The sequence below is a fragment of the Homo sapiens genome, chromosome 13 (assembly GCF_000001405.40).
Source record: "Homo sapiens chromosome 13, GRCh38.p14 Primary Assembly".
NCBI classification, from domain to species: Eukaryota; Metazoa; Chordata; class Mammalia; order Primates; family Hominidae; genus Homo; species Homo sapiens.
Genome location: NC_000013.11, coordinates 82,356,487 through 82,374,935, shown reverse-complemented (window position 1 = coordinate 82,374,935; position 18,449 = coordinate 82,356,487). Strand labels below are relative to the sequence as shown.

Sequence of the window (18,449 nt, the reverse complement as noted above, 5' to 3'; positions counted from 1 at the left end):
GATCTTGATGAGTGTTGCAATATATTGATGACTGTGACAATTACCACCTAAAATTTTCTTTAGTTACATACATTAAAATCTGTTTGCCAAAAAGAAATGAAGTTTCTTGACTAAGACTGCAAATAGAAAATCTGAGATTTTTAGACATCATTGTCATTGATGTTACCTCTGTTTATAAGAAGATACTAAGCTAATAATGTTTCATTTTTTAAAAAGTGAGTTCTGTTTTTCTTCATTTGTAGATGAGAAAATATTGGGATATGTTCTTTGAGAAAAATGTGTCTTTATTGCAACATAGATCACATATTAAAATATAATATGATTGAAGTTACCATAAAATAAACAATCATTTTGATATATATTTTAGAATGCTATTTTAATAAAGAAATTACTAAAAGCATATCAAGTAAAATTATTATATATCTATATCTTGAAATAATATATATATATAATAGAGACAGAGTCTTGCCATGTTGGTCCTGAACTCCTGAGCTCAAGCAATCCTCCCACCTCAGCCTCCTAAAGAGCTGGGATTACAGGAGTGAGCCACCACACCTGGCCTTATTTGGATATATTGATTGTAAGGCACATGTATAAAATAAAAAGGCTTGAAATAAATAAATAATGTTAGATATTTTTAAACTAAAAATAATTTATACAATTTTTCGTCATAAACTTGAAAAACAGTGCATATTATCAGTTTTTAAGGAAATACAATTTGCCAAAATTGATACAAAGAATAAGATAATAAACAAGAATAATGTAATATTGCTAGAGAATACATTAATATAAAAACTTTTAAAAAATTACTTAAAAACATTGCCAAGTATTCAATTATAAAAGAATATACTTTCTTGCCTTTCAAATTGTTAAAAGTTTCAGTGCTACATGTGATCTAATATATTTCATGTGCTATTTGCCATCCATGTTTCTTCTTTAGTAACAATGTTCATTTTTTTTCTGTTCCACTTTCACTGACGTTCTAAAGTTAGTTGACTATTTCTTATTATTGATTTATAATACTTTGCGTATCCTGGGTAAAAGTGCATATCAGATGTATTAGTCCATTTTCACACTGCTGATAGAGACATACCTGAGACTGAGTAATTTATACAGAAATAGAGGTTTAATGGACTCACAGTTCCAAGTGGCTGGGGAGGCCTCACAATCATAGTGGAAGGCGAAAGGCACATCTTACATGGCAGCAGAAAAGAGAGAAAATAAGAGTCAAGTGAAAGGGGTTTCCCCTTATAAAACCATTCCCCTTATAAAACTTATTCACTACCATGAGAACAGTGTGGGGGAAACCACCTCCATGATTCTTTTATCTCCCACTGGATCCCTCCCACAACACATTGGAATTATGGGAGCTACAATTCAAGATGAGATTTTGGTGAGGATATAGTCAAACCATGTCATCAGATATGTAATTTCTAAATTTTTTTCCCAACCAGTGGTTTGTCTTTACACTGCCTTAAACATGTCTTTCAGAGAAGAGCAGTTCTTAACTTGGGTGAAGTCCAGTTTATCAATTTTGTTTTTATAGATTGTGCTTTTTGGATTTTTACTTAAGAAATCATTGTTAACCCCAATGTAACAAAAATTTTCTCCTTTCTTCTAGAAGTTTTATAGTTTAAGGTTTTACATTGAGGTGTCTACTTCACTTGAATTAGTATTCGTATACATTAAAAGAAATGGATAGAGATAATTTGTCTTCTTTCTTTTTTTATTTGCATGTGGCTCTCTAAGTTTTCTAGTGGTATATGTTGAAAAGACTATTCTTTCTCCTTTCAGTTGCTTCTGTACCTTCATTTATATATCTATATATATTCTACTGAATCTGCTTCTCTGGAGAATTCTGACTACAGATTTTGCTATCAGAAGTAGTTCCAGAGGAAGAGAACTTTATTTTCTTTTTAATTTATTTGTTTTATGAGACAGGGTCTTCCTCTGTTGCCCAGACTGAAGTGCAGTGGAATGAACACAGCTCAATGCAGCTTTGTCCTCCCAGGATCATGTGATTTTCCCACCTCAGCGTCCCCCAGCACCACCCCAGTAGCTGGGACTATAGGCACACACCACCATGCCTGGCTAATTTCTGTATTTTTTGTAGAGACTTGGTTTCTCTATGTTGTCCAGGCTAGCCTTCAATTCCTCAAGGTATCCCTTGACTCAAATTCCCAAAGTGCCAGGAATACAGACATGAGCCCCTGTGCCCAGCTGGAATAGAAGTTTAAAGATAAATTTTTAGAATTGGCTTTGGGGTTTCTGCAGCTGGCTCTCTAATCTGATTAAATTTGAAGACACTACAAGATTCTATTCCACTAGGAAAGAGAACTGGCATAAACTGTTTATACAGATACACAAAATATTTGCATTATACTCCTAATCAATCTCTTTCAAGAGGCAGGAAGTTAAGTAACTCTGTTTCTGGCACTTTCATACATTTTGGGAAAACTAAGAAATATAATGACGTTGGTTAATTGTTCCTAATGTCACAGGATCAAGTGCTGAGAAAAGAATGAACTAACGGATGTGAATTTTCAATATGTACTACATGCATCGTGTAAGAGTTTTGTGAACCTGAATATCGCAACAGGTCTCAGTTAATTTACAATGTTTATTTTGCCAAGGTTGAGGATGTGTGCCCATGACACAGCCTCAGGAGGTCCTAACAACATGTGCCCAAGGTGGTAAGAGCACAGTTTGGTTTTATACATTTTAGGGAAATATGAGACATCAATCAATATATGTAAGAAGAACATTGGTTCGGTCCAGAAAGGGAGGACAACTCAAAACAGGGGAAAGGCTTCCAGGTCATAGATAGATAAGAGACAAATGGTTGCATTCTTTTGAGTTTCTGATTAGCCTCTCCAAAAGAGAGGTCCTCTCACAGTACAAGGTCATCTGTAGTACCCCAAAGCCAAAGAAGCCAGGTCATGCAATACAGGAAAACAGACCTTTAGACCTATGAAGAATTTGCCCATGACTCTTGCAACTCCAAAAAGAAAACACATCACCCCTAAAAGGGTGAGTGGTGCCTTTGTTCTGGATTCTTTAAAGGGTTTTGAGTCAGTAGAAGCCTTTTCTAGATTTTATGGTACTGCAGATGGCCAAGGAGGAAGAAGTTATTGGGTGTAAGAAAAGTAAATGAAAGAACATTTGATTTTTGAGACTGAAAGCAAGCATAGACACCAAGCACATACTTTTTGTTTTTGATTGTTTGTTTTTCCTCTTTTCCAGATGCGAGGAATTTTAACCAAATTAAAGAGGCTTTGTTAACCATAATTTGGAATTGTCATATAGATTTAATCAAGTCAGGTAATGTTGGTCAAATCTAGTGGGAGAAAGACTAGAAAAAACAACAACAAATAAAACTCCAACAATATGATCACTGAGTGCTCTGATGATAAGAAGAAATTAGGACCAGCTGGTTGTTAAACTTTAGCCAACACAAAACCCTAACTCAGCCACTTACCGAGGGGTGGGTCTCAGACTGAAGACTGCTCTCTACCATCCTAGAAGCAGGAGAAAACTTCAACTCGTCTTCCTTGCTGGGAGCAAGCTCAAAATCCATAAAGAAGTTACCTTGCTTTCCATCATCATGAAGCAGGAAATCTTGCCTTCCTTGTTGGAAGCAAGTAAATCTCCAAAAACAAAGGGAGTTGTACAGCAAAATAAATTTTAGATCTCGATGAAATTTTGGGAGTTCAGGGATTCTCTCGAGGGTGTGTTCCCAGACCTCAGCAAATTGTTCTATTGGTTTTGGCCATAAAGTTAGCTTATGCTGGTACCAAGCACCAGTAGAAAATTTGTCAAAGGTCAGGGGTACCTCTATTCAGAATCTTTCCGTGGTTACCAAAATATGAACTCTGAATGTCTGAGACAGGTCTCAGTTAATTTAGAAATGTTTATTTTGCCAAGGTTGAGGATGTGTGCCCATGACATAGCCTCAGGAGGTCCTGACATGTGCCCAAGGTTGTCAGAGCACAGTTTGGTTTTATACATATTACAGAAACATGAGACATCAATCAACATATATAAGATAAACATTGGTTCAGTCCAGAAAGGCAGGACAACTCAAAGTGGTGAGGGGCTTCCAAGTCACAGGTAGATAAGACAAATGATTGCATTCTTTTGAATTCCTGATTAGACTCTCCAAATGCATAATAAGATATGCATTTATCTTAGCAGAGAGGTGACTTTGAATAGAATGAGAGGCAGGTTTGCCCTAAGCAGTTCCCAACTTGACTTTTCCCTTTAGCTTGTGATTTGGGGGCCCCAATGTTTATTTTTCTTTCATAGATTTTAGGTGTGCCCTGAAGAAAAGCCCTTTCTTATAATCCCAGTATTAACATTGCTGAAAATCAAGCACATGAACTCATACAGTGATTGACTGAATTACTATGCAAGTTGAACTCTCATCCTCTAAGAATGTGGTTAGAGGATCACTTTCTATTAAAGTGAGGTCATTGAAAGGGAAACAACAAGATCCTGTAAGTTGAGATGGAGGTGTATGGAAAGACAATGCAGCTGGGGACATCGAGCCCCTAAATTCTGATGAGATTTTTTTGTTTGTTTGGGTTTTTTGCTAGTCAAAAAGGTCTCCTTACCCCCCAATAACAGCAGCCTCCTCACCCTCATTTATGTAATAGTTAGGGTTCTCCAGAGAAACAGTACCAAAAGGATATATGTAATACATAGGAGGAGATTTGTCATGGGAATTGGTGAATGTGATTATGAGTGAGGCTCAGTAGTTCCACAATATGCCCTTTGCAAGCTGGAACACTGGGAAAGCCAGTTGTGTACTTCAATCCAAGTTTGAAGGCTTGAGAACGAGGAGCTCAAGATGCCCAAGGACAAGAGAAAGTGGATGTCTCAATTAAAGAAGAGAGTGGATTCACATTTCCTCCCCCTTTTGTTTCTATTCGGGGGATCCCATAATGGTAAGGGTGGATCTACTTTACTCTGCCCACTGATTCAAATGCTAATCTCTTCTGGAAACATCAAAAATAGACACACCCAGAAAAAACGTTCTACAAGGTATCTTGGTATCACTTTACCCAGTCAAGCTGACACACAAAAGTAACCATCAGAAAATATATGGATGGCTTATATGTAGTCTCTCTTTTTTATTCTATTGATCTCTTCTATATGCCAATATCACAACATTTTTACTATTTCAGCTTTAAAATTGGCTTCAATATCACATAGTCAGTTCCCTAACATGAATCTTTTTTTTTCAAAGTTGTTTTGATTGTTCTATATTCTATTCTGTGTATTTTTATGAATTTTGAAGACTTTAAATCAGTTATGCAATTTCTACAAAAAAAAAATCCCCTGTAATTTTTATTGAAATGGCTTTAAATCTATAAGTTAGTTTGGGGAAAATTGATATGTTAACAATATGGAATCTTTTGATTATGAGAACAGTATATCTTTTGCATTATTTACGTCAGTGTTTTCAGCAATGTTTTGTGGTTTTCAGACTAAATTCTTGCACATCCTTTGTCAGATTTATCTTTGAGTATTTTATATTTTTGATACGATTGTAAATCAATTTTTGAAATTCTAGTACTGAATTCTTCACTGGTAGCTTATAGAAATACAACTGATTTTTGAATTTTGAATTTATCCTGCTAACTTGCCAAACTCACTTTTTGGTTATTTTAACTTTTTTGAAGATTTTATTTAATTTTCTGTAAAAATGATAAAGTCATCTAATCAAAGACTTTCACTTCTTCCTTTAGAATTTGTATGCCTTGACTCCTTTTTCTTCACTGATTGCACCACTAGATAGTATTTCTAGTAAAATGATGAGTAGAAGTAATGGAAGAGGATATTCTTGCCATGTTTCTGATACTAGCATGAAATAATTCAATTTTTCATGTTTAAGTGTGATGTCACTGGCAGACTTTTCATAGATGTTAATAATAAGTTTGAAGAAGAACACTTCTGTTCCTCCTTTGCTGAAGGTTTTTATAAGGAGCAGACAGACTTTAACAAGTATTGGCCAAGATGCATAAAATTGGAAGGCTCAAATATTGCTAGTGGAAAAATAGAATAGCACAGCCATTTTTAACAATACTATGGCAGTTTCTTAATCAGTTAAAAATAGACTTACCATATGGCTGAGAGTCCACTCCTGTGTATCTCTCCAAGAAAATGAATACATCCATACACATTTATACAATAGTGTTCACATCAGCATGATTTATAATAGGCAAAGTGGAAGCAAGTTAAATATTTATCAACTGATGAATGGATGAACAAAATATGGCATATTCTTGCTATGAAATATCATTTGGCAGTAGAAAGGAATGAAGAACTGATATATATAACAACATGGATGAACTTCAAAAACATTTTGCTCAGTGAAACAAAGATAGACAAAAAGCATATATAGTATTATTTCATTTTTTTGAAATATCCCAGAAAAGCCAATGCTGAGAAGAGAAAATAAACTAGTGTTTTCCTAGGACTGGAAGTAGAAATAGAGAGTGACTGAAAGTGGGCACAAGCTTTTTTTTAGGATTATGGAAATGTTTCAAAATTAGCTTGTGGTGATGGTTTTTCTACTCTAAGTATACTAAAATTCTTTATGGTACACATTTAAAGGAGGTACACATTATTTTTATGGCTTATAAATTATATGTTAAAAGTGTTAAAAATATGAGGCTACTAACATAGGTCAGGTGATTTGAAAATGTAGACGATATAAAGGCAAAAAAATAGCATTTTCTTCTATATGTTTACAATATAGTATATAGTGACAGATATTTAAGCAAAGAAGTATATTTAAATGCTTATGGGGCATAATAATCTTATTTATAATTTATAAGTTGATAAAAAAGTAATATTTCTGTATTTAATAATATATTTATATGAATTCCATTTTGAAAATTTAACTTTTTTATGAATTATAGGTATTTAATCATTATTTTCTGGATGATAGGTATAAAGGGAAGGAAAATTAGAAGGTGAAGATTGAGTAGTTGTATTCAGATATTACCAAATGGATATTTAACCAAAACTAAATAAAAAGTAATATTTACTTGTCTATTGCTATAGTCTGAATATTTGAGTCTCCCCTAAATTTATATGGTAAAACCTAAACCACAATGTGATGGTTTTAGGAGTAGAGGGCCTTTTTAGTAGGTGATTATGTCACGAGAGTGGAACCCTCATGAATGTGATTAGTGCATTTATAAGAGGCTGAAGAGACCAGAGTTTTCCTTTCCATTACTTGAGGACACATAAGAAGTTGCCATCTATGAACTAGGAAGGTAACCCTCACCAGACCCTGAATTTGCTGGTATTTTTTTCCTGGACTTTCCAGTCAGGAAATGTGATAAATAAATTTCTGTTGTTTACAATCTACCCAGTTTATGGTATTTGTATTTTAAATACAGCCAAATGGACTAAGACATCCATATTGCTCAATTATTATAGTAGGTAAAGAGCTTTTCAGACTCATGACATAGTAAAGTCTTTCAAATAACATTCTGGTTTATCCAGATGCATTGAAGTGAGAACTTGTAAACAACACTTTGTGGGAGAATTTCTTTTTAACCACATGATAGAATTTCTTGGTCTAAAATGTGACTCAATTTGTGTTCTGCAGTAAATTAGAGTCTGAACACAAATTTAGCATACTAATAGTTTTCTGTGTTGGTATTTAGACTCTCCTAAGCTCTAAGTGTAAATGCATGTAAATTAGACAAATTAATTCTTTCCAACTAATTGCCCCGCAATACTTAAGTAAGTCACCACATAATGCATCATTTGTTTATCTATATGACAAAATAATTATAACAAACATATGCCACAAATTATTTATTAATTAATCCATTTGCTCACTTGTGCATTTGTCTGTTCATTCATTTATTCATTTTTTCATTCATCTATTTATTTGATGTAACTAGTGTTTACAGTATTCTAAACACTTGCATTTTTATAACATTGATAATATTCATCTTTTAAAAAGGGTCACTTGATACTAATGTTAACTACTAAAATAAGGTAAAATTTAAATCTTAGCTAGCACAGTACCTTAATAAAAATATAATAATTTCAGGCTTGGCGCGGTGGCTCACGCCTGTAATCCCAGCACTTTGGGAGGCCAAGGGGGGGCGGCTCACGAGCTCAGGAGATCAAGACCCTTCTGGCTAATGCGGTGAAACTCCATCTCTACTAAAAATACAAAAAATTAGCTGGGCGTGGTGGCACGCACCTGTAGTCCCAGCTACTCTGGAGGCTTCCCGGGAAGCAGAGGTTGCAGTGAGCCAAGATTGCACCACTGCACTCCAGCCTGGGTGACAGAGGGAGACACTGTCTCAAAAAATAAAAATAAAAATAAAAATAATAATTTATTTGAGTGATTATTATCTGATACATTTTTATAGCATATTGAAAAGACATCATTTCTACTAATAAGGTGTGGGTTTTAATACTTTCTGATTTAAAAGCAATAATGCCAAATTTTTTATTTGCTGTAACACCCACTAAATTTTTATTACTTTTTAAAAACTACTATATACACACACCAATACATATGTAACCATATACATATCTACTTATATATTAAACTATATCTAGAGAGAGAGAGAGAATAAACTTTTCTCACAGAGCATCCATAATAGTTTCCTTCAAAACATATCATGTCATTTACTCCGTCTGCTCAAAAAGCACCAATGGCTTCCCATTGCTATCAGAGTAAAATCCAGATGAGCTAGTTATATAGATGGGATCATCTTCTACCATGCTCCTACTTGCTCAGGTCTTTCCAGATTCACTGACCTACTTGATACATCTCAAAACAATGCATATGATCAGGGCCTTTGCACTTCTTGATCTCTCTGATAGAAATGCTCCACAAATATCTGTATGGCTCACTCTGGACTTTCCTGACAATTCTGAATGAATTAATTAAAATAAGTTCAGCTTATCTCCCCTTTCCTCTTAAAATTTTCTGGATTATGCTTATCGTATGTTTGTTTTTTGTATCTGCATGTATGATATAACATAGATACTTGTGCATATTGGTCGGTGGTCTATAAGCAGAAGCTTTATTACTATATTATTACAGGAGAGTCAGTTATCAGGCTAAAAATGCAATCAGGTTTTCAGCTTTTAGCCTGGGAAATACTACAATAAAAAAAAGTCAGATGACTCAGGGTTATATACATATCAGATAATGTTACACAAAATCATGAAATGCCATGAGTATTTGCTAAGACAGAATTTTTCTGGATAATTGAACTATTTCTTGATAAACTATTTTATTGGAAATTTTGTTGTTATCACATACCTTCCATTGGCAAACACTCTGCTTTTCATGTTTCTGTATAGAGTGATTGTCATCTAAATGGGAGTGCATCCACTCCCATACTATTTACAGATAATTGTCCCTTTATAGCTGGATAAAAATTATATGAAAATTATCCTGCTCTATTTAATATAACTGATTCAAAACTGTATGTTTGAAGAGGGATTATTCTGTTTGTCTGCATAAGAATGAATGGCATGCTGTATTACAGAAAAAGAAAGAGAAATAGAAGAAAAAACCCACTAGGGTACATTATTAGTTTTATAATTACATTTAAAGAGTTTTTGGGGGCCCTAGCTTATGGACCCTATTGGTATAACTTTACAACAATCTGAATTTTTATTATATTGGTTTAATGTACTTATCTGGATTTGAAAGAACAAGGCGCTTGGGTAATTAAAACACATAGTCTCCTTGAGCTGCTAGCAGATAGCAAAGTGCTATTTGATTTTGTGTGACTATTTTCTATTTGGCTTTCAATTTCACTAAAAGGACCTCACAGTGTCTGCACTGGAATGAAGGCAATTATTATATGGGTCTTTGAAATAAATTGGAGTGTTTTCTTCAATTTATTTATCCTTAAGATTGGTATTGGTATCCTCATTGTCTTAAACCCAAGTTTCTGTTCTCTATGCCTAATAATTTTGTCATTGTAGTTCTAGAATAAACTTTCTCTATAATATATAAAGTTATCTTATATGATTTCATATACTATTTTAAGACTCCTGCTGTGATTTATCCAGGAAATATGTATTTTTTTGAATTCTTCCAATATGTTAAAAGCCCATTTGTTATAGTACCAATCAATCCTTTCTTCAATAAGTTGAGGTAAAGAGAAGTGGCAGATTGTAATAGATCCTCCTTTCTGGAGTGATTTTGCTGACATTGCCTATTTATGAACAGTGCAGCAACTCCATTAGTAGTATAGTAAAGAACCATCAAGTTTGTCAGGTTGAAAAAAAAATGTCCTTTTCACTTGAGCTGAAATGTTCTACAATTGCTCTGTTCCTTTTTTTTTTTTTTTTTTTTTTTTTTAGGAGTGCCTTTCTCTGTACACACAAATGGGGCTTCTGTTTTAAGACTAAATGGCCCAGTTCTCTATGGACACTGTGTTTGCTCAGTTGGGCTGTCTTATTCCACATCGATGTATCTGAGAAACCCAACTCAGTCTAGACCCAGCAAGACAGACTGGACAGAGTACTGATAAAAGACATGACTTAACTCATATAAAGTGGCCATGAGCTCTAATTCAGTAATTGGATTGATTTAAGAAAATGTCTATGGATTGTGTCAGTTTTCAAAACATTGTAATAGCCTGTATTTCTAGAGATGTGAATATGACTAGAGAAACTATGAAAACTCCTGGATTACTTTTAATTCAATATGAATTATTTTAACTGGACTTTCAAATCGTTTTTAAGTATTTAAAAATATTATATGTAATATAGGCTTAAACCCAGCTTGTGTATGTGTAAATTATTTTATACAGTTATAGAAAGGGTCTCGAATTGTGGGTGACTAATTCTCATTAGTGTAGATGTCTTTATTGATGTTTTGTGTAATGTATTCAGGTGGGAAAGTAAAAAGCAATATGTGCTTGCTAATAAGTTGAGCAGGACGATACTTTGGGCACTATCTATTCTGGAAATGTGATGGCTAAAAAATTACTTTTTAGAAATTTCATTGTGAAACAACCAATAGTATTGTACTATATCAGGGCACCAAGGTTATTTATACACAGGAAAACTACTTAGCTACCTCATTTGATAAAGAGATGAAATATTTGAGCTTTATCTAACTCACCAGAAGTTATAGATAAAATGGGTCCTAGGGGAAATTAACACAAAGAGAAGAATGAATCCAGTCATTTCCTTATTTATTCAAATAAGAGCAAATTTTTCAGTCAGGAACCAATAATATTGATAAGACCAATTCATACTGAATATCACTACTTATTCAGCAATCAGTTTGGTAAGACTTTTAGTCAATCCCACATCACTTGAAATAAATGTAGTTTTTCTCATTAACCACAGTTAATTGTCTTATAATTTTATTTATTTATTGCTGAGTTGTAAAAGAGTCTTAGTCCTCAAAAACCAATTTATGGAGAAAAATATGCAGTTCATTTAGCAATAGCATAAGTTACAGGGAACCACTTTCAAATCTCAGCTTTAAGAGGAGAGCATTCTTCTCCAGATAAGGCAGCTTTGGGGATGTTTCTGGAAGTACTTGGCATACATATTTGGTTTGCAGCATCATTATGTGTACTTGACATAATTGAACAGTTATAATCATAGAGTATAGTTATTTTTATCAACAAAATTTCTAAATATGAGCTTTAAGGTCTTCATGAAGTTGTAGAGAGCATAGCCTAGAAAATTTGGTAGGGTCAGTTTTAGGAGTTAGCTGGCAGAATTGCTGTATGTGTTTGGGTAAATGCTCATCATCTCTAACATTCTGCTGCCTTTAAGATCAGGCTACTATAAAGGAGTCTGATAATATTTTGATTTTCCAGGAATAACACAATTAATAGATCTTATAATGCTTATTAAAATAGAGAACTTTTTACTTTGAAAAAGACAATGAACTTATGACCTTTATAGATTTGATATGTTTCAGCTAGTTGTAACCTCATTTTATACTTAAGCTGATATATCACAATAAGTGATATTCAACTAAACCTAAATAAGTTAATAAATAGAGTAATCATAATTTAAATAAATCTTTTAAAAAACTGACAGTTTTGCCTTTTGTTTTTATCTGATAAAAATTAATATAATGTCTGTTACAACTAACACACAATAATAAAAGTGCAAAAAGAACAACAAACTTTAGTGTATGTCATTCAAGATATGTTTCTTTTTTTCATTATTTATTTTTTAGAGACAGAGTCTCGCTCTGTCACCCAGGCTGGACTTCAGTGGCGTGATCTTGGCTCACATCAGCCTTTGCCTCCCAGGTTCAAGCAATTCACCTACCTCAGCCTCCTGAGTAGCTGGGACTACATGCATGCGCCACCACATCCGGCTATTTTTTTTAGTTTTAGTAGAGACGGGGTTTCACCATGTTGGCCAGGGTGGTCTCAAACTCTTGACCTCAAGTGATCCGCCCTCCTCGGCCTCTCAAAATGGTGGGATTACAGGCATGAGCCACTGTGCCTGGCCCAAGAAATGTTTCTTTTAATACAAACTATTTTATATTAGAATATGAATGGAGTACCTAACAAATGTGAGTGTGTTTGTATTATCACTTTTTAAAATAAAGTATTCATATGAGCAGAAAAGGCTTACATGAGTAATAAGATTTTATATTGTAACTGGCTTTTCAAAAATAAGTGGAATTAAATAGAATTTGTCTATTAAAGTCAGAAGAGGTGAGCCTGACAGAGGGTATGGGGGCTGGGGATAGCTTGCTTGTTTTAAGTTTGCTGACAGGATTTTTGAGTACATCTAGTACTGATTCTTATTTTAGTTAATAGCCAAAAATTATCTTAATATTATAAATTTAAAAATCTCTTTGATTTGGAAACAAAATATTAATTCTGAGTTAGTGAAAGATCTCTTTGTGCTAGGTTTATATTTTTATTATTACTTATCAATTGACATTAATGACAAATATATTTAGAATAACTAGTGAAATTATTTTCCATCATATTTATTTTTTCATAAATTAGAGAACACACAATAAAGCATTTCGGCTAGTGGAATAAAAAATAATCACATAATTTTGAATTTATTCCCTGGAATATTTCAGTTATAGTCATGTACAGGACCTTTACTGTAGAAAATGCACATATATAATAATTTTAGTGACAATTACATGGCCTTATTTACTTACCAAAGGAGGATATTTTTAGTATTGGAAAACTTGTTGCTGAGACAGATTAGTGAGACTACAGGGACATTTCTTATTTTTGTAGAGATAGATTAACTTATTTAAAAAGCTGGTAAATTTCAGATAAGTGTCCCAAGTAAAACATTTGAAAATTAAGTTTGTTTTAATAAAAGCCTCCAAATAATTTAGAAACTGAGAGCCGTATTTCACTTTATTTATACATATGACCATATTGAAAGTTTGGTACATGAGACAAACAACCTGAATAAGTTTTAGTTATTTTTAGAATTATAATAATAAATTGATTGAATTACAGGAAATGGCTTGACTTTGTATTTTACGTTTTAATCCGCATTAGGCTTTGGGTATTAATTGAACTTTATTCATTAGAATGCATTGATTTTATTGATCTGCTTTAATTGTTTTTACTATTATTTTACCATTTGTTAATAGTGAAACTATGTGTGACTTACGAATAAGTGGTGGGAGAGTATGAAATGCATTAAACAGAAATCTGCTTCAGGATGATCTAAACAATTTAAATGAAACATACAGCTAATGATTGCTCTTTGTTTTAGTTTAAATTTTTGGACTTGACTCTAAGGCAGCATCCAGGTCATAAGACATAGCTTTGGGTTAAACCTGTGTGATGGGTTAAATGTGGCTACAAATTGTTTGACACTCTTGCCATCAACAGGCAGGGTATATTTTCTGTTTTGTTTGAAACAAAATTTTACCACAGAATAGATTTATATTTACAGAAAAGTTGCACAGACAATGCAGTGAGTTCCTATATACCTGCACCAATTTTTTATTTTTGACATCTCACATTAATGTGTTATATTTGTCATAATTAATAAAGCAATATTAATGCATTTTTAAATTGAAGTCCATACATTTTTAGATTTCTAAAGTTGTTTTACTTTTTTGGTTCCAAAATCTCACTCGGGATACCACATTATATTTAGCAGTCCTGTCTCCCTAGAATCTTCTTAGCTGTGACAGTTTCATGGACTCTCCTAGTTTTTGATGATCTTGACAGTTTGAAATGTACTGACCAGTTATTTGATAGAGTATTTCTCAATTAAGATTTATTTGATGTTTGTCTCATGACTAGATTTATAGGATGTGGAGAAGTCTGCGAAGTTAAAATATAATTTTCATTATATCCTATCAAGGGTACATATTATCAATTCTTGATTATTTGGCTGGGGTGTTTTCCATCAATTTCCCTGCAGATTAATTACCCAAATTTCCAATTTTTTAATTGTACTTCTTAGAAGACCATCACTAAGAAAAGGATATGTTTAAAGAGTGAGGAATTACAATCTATCTCTTTGAGGTGGAGTTTCTATATATAGTATTTGGAATTGTTCTGCATGGAAAAATTGCCTATTGTCCTGTATTTATTTATATATTGTATCCAGTTATTTATATCATAGACTCATCTCTTCTATGTATATAAATATATATATGTATATATAAATCAATGAGATGAGCCTATAATGACATATATATATATATATACACACACACACACACACACACATAGTATATTTTGGAGTTTAATCTCAAAGTAATTTAGTTTGTTGCTCAAATTGTTCTAGTCTTGGCAGTTGGTATCTCTTTCATTTGGCTCCTGTGTCTCTGTTTATGACATAATCCATCCCCACAGTGTTTCCTTGAGTATTATCTTTCTTTCTGAGACTGCAAGGTGTGCCCAGATCACCTTATATATTTCATGTCTCAGTCCTAGTATCAGACATTTCTCCAATGACCTTGATTTTCTTTATTGAGGAGTGGTATTAGAAACCATCTGCTAAGTGTGAGGTGTGCTTGTTGCCCTTGGGGTGTCAATGCTTTTATACCCATCAGCTGACAGAACAATGTATGTATACTATTCCATCTCCACATATCTATAAATATATTACATGTTGCCATCAGCATCTATATTAAGCTAAACATGAGTTCATACTGATGTCTCCACCTCTAATCCATTACTACATAGATCATTTTAACCTCCTCCATTTGCTGATCTATAACACACACCACTTCGACAGTGAGAATCCTGATTGCACTATCCACCACTTATTATTTCGTTGTTCAATTTCAGTATGCATGTGTAGTGATTCCAGAGTTATTAACATCATATCTTTGTAGGGGACAACTTTATCAACTATTTTATAATTATTATATGCAATTCTTTTTGCCTTTGGTTTTACAAACCCCATTCACTTCCAAACTACCAGGTTAGTACATTTTCCCCAACTCCTTTCAGTAACAACATTAAATAATTATAACACTAAATGCAATTGAAAATGCAGAGAAAACATATCACTTATACATTGCTGGTGGGAATGTAAAATGGTACCACAACTCAGGAAAATGATTTGCTCATTTATATTAATATTAAACATATGACAACTATAAGACAAAGCAATTGTACACTTAGGTATTTATCTCTGAAATATAAAAAATATATATTCACACAAAACCTGTTTATGCATGCTAATAGGAAAAATTTTATTTTAAAATACGATTTTTTTAAATAGAAGTCTTCCAGAAAATATATCAAATGTAAGATTTCTAAACTTTACATAAACTACAGAAATAGTCAAATTTGATTAATTAAAAAGTAAGCCACATATTACTTATAAAACATTCACCCACTTACAATATTAAGATACAGAAATATTAAAAGGAAAGGTATAGAAAAAGATTTACCATACAAACATTACCCCCCAAAAGCAGGGATGGCTAACTTAATATCAGACAAGTATTAATGCCAAACAAATGGCAGAGATATATCATAATGGTTAAAATATTAATTCTATGATACGATATAACAATTCTAAATTTTTCTATACCTGATAGAATTATTTTCCAAAAATATGAAGATTTGACAGAACTAAATGCTGAGGTAGAAAAATCCACAATTAAGATTTTAATAAGCCTTCTCAGTAACTGATAAGCAAACAGAGAAATCATTAAAAATATAGAAATTAACAGTTCAATGTTGGTGTATTTGAAACACATTAGAACATCATATCCAATTTATACAAATTATAGTCTTTCCAAGTACATGTTGAAATTAACATGCTCCACTGTAAAGCATATAGCAACAAACATCAAAGATCTGAAATAATTTGAATGTATATTCTTTGAACATGTGGATTCACTAAAATGTAATATTATAAACCTAACTGGAAAGTCTCCAAATGCTTAGAAATTGAGGTACTCGTATATGTAACTCATGGACAAGGAGGAAATCACAATATGAGTCAGAAAATGGTTTCAATGGAATTATTATGAGTAACAAAACAATAAATATTGTGGGTTGTAGATACTGCAGTGACTAGATGATGTTTCTTGATAGCAAAAAATGGAAATTAATTTCAGTGTTATTTATTCATAAGATGAATAAATTGAGATACATTCAAATAATAGATATGACAGCAATGAAAATGAATGAAAAACATGTTTACATGATATCACAGATGAATACCATAAACATGGGATTGAGGGAAAAAGCCAGACACTCCAGAATTCTAGTGGTATTTTATTCTACGTATATTAAGTGTAAAAAGGAAAAACTAGATTTTGATGGTAGAGATTAGCAGTCTTCCTTACAGGTGTACTGTCTAGGGGGAGCAAAAGGAGCATTTAAAAATGCTGGAAATGCTCTATGTTTTGATGTGGTGGTGTGACATGGTAAAAATATGTGAAAATTCATACATATGTGAAAATTCAACAAGCCTTATGTTTAAGATTTATGTAGTTTACGCTGTGTAAATTCTACCTCGAGAAAAAATAAGGCATGCTACTTTTTCATACAGTATTTCATCTATCCATTTGACAAAATCCAATGTTGATAAGACTCTCTGTGAGACTAAGGAAACGCTAAGTCTGATGTATTACTGTTGAGAGTCTACATTGGTGCAAACGTCCTGGAGAGAAAATTGGCAGTATATATCAAAATTACACATGTATATATATAGTTTCCCCTGCAATTTTATGTCTGGAAATTTATCTTCTGGATGTTTTCACACATGTGAAATGACATATGTACTATTTTATTAATTTTAGCTTTGTTTGAAACAGAAAAATAATATCGGCAACTCAAATTACCAGCAATGGATAACTGGTTAAATAAATCATAGTATATCAACAAATATAATAAAATGTATGGCAAAATGAAAAGAATGAGGAAACACTATGAAAGATACTGAATTTTCTCCAAGAAATAGTGTTAGTCAAGAAACTGTGGGAAACAGAGTATCTCATTTTCTGTTTTTTATATAAAAAAAGACTAGAGACAAAAATTTATTTCTAGATTTACTTCTACAAATATTAATTAATACTGGAAGGATATACAAGAATTTGTTATTAATGAAGGGTGGTTTTTAAATTTATGGAATATTTTTAGGCATGTGAATAAATTCCATATTCAGATGTATTTTATACAAAAACATAGGAAACTATCCAGGACACAGTCACTACTTTCAAACACAGCAAAAATATGTTAAAAGGCCTGGCTCTAGTATACAGTAGAAATAATGTGGCGAGGGGTTGACATCTCCACTTAACATAAACAGATGATAACATTTTCTCCTTTTGAATCTCCAAGCACAGATTCAGAATTCCTTTCATCATGGAAACATCGATTTACACTAAACAATATAGGAATGAAAATATTGTACATTACTGATACAGTTAAAAGAGATGTCTGCAGACTAGCTGTGGTACGTATTTGTTTGCTCTCTTTTCTAGTATTCTTAATGTTAGATTTTGTAAGTTATCCTCCTTCTCCTTCCAGACAGCTGATCACAGTTTGTTCCTTGCCATAGCAGGTAGTAGAAGCAGAAGTCAACCCTTTAACGTTTGGGCCTCCGGTTTATGGTGACAGAGGAAAAAGAGATGTCAGTTTTGTTTTTTGTTTTTTTTTAACTGAATGTTGCCACCTACTGATCAAGACTTACTTTTGTAAGGCCTGCTTCTACATAATTTAGCATAGTGAAGAATAGTCATGCAAAAAGCCATATAAAGATTAAGATATATAATTAGTTCTGTAATTATTATTTTTAGTAATAATAATTAGAATGTACTTCAATAAAAATAATTAAAATTATTTTTATTTTATTAATTTATACCTCAATAAAAATAATTTTAATTATTTTTATTGAGGTATAAATTGCAAACAATACATAAACCCTGAGTGCACAGACATTACATAACCACCACCTGAAAATCAACATATAGAAAATTTTAATAATCTCAAAAAGGTTTT

At 32.6% G+C, this 18,449-nt stretch overlaps 1 long non-coding RNA gene across 1 annotated transcript in view; it reads left to right on the top strand.

The window, feature by feature from the left end:
• LOC105370285 (uncharacterized) overlaps positions 1-17,898 on the top strand; it is a 39,671-nt gene extending 21,773 nt beyond the window's left edge. Inside the window, exons 3-4 of the long non-coding RNA XR_001750062.1 lie at positions 3,244-3,321; positions 17,795-17,898. This is a non-coding gene — a long non-coding RNA (uncharacterized LOC105370285). The remainder of the gene's footprint in view (positions 1-3,243; positions 3,322-17,794) is intronic.
• The last annotated feature ends 551 nt before the right edge of the window (positions 17,899-18,449 follow it).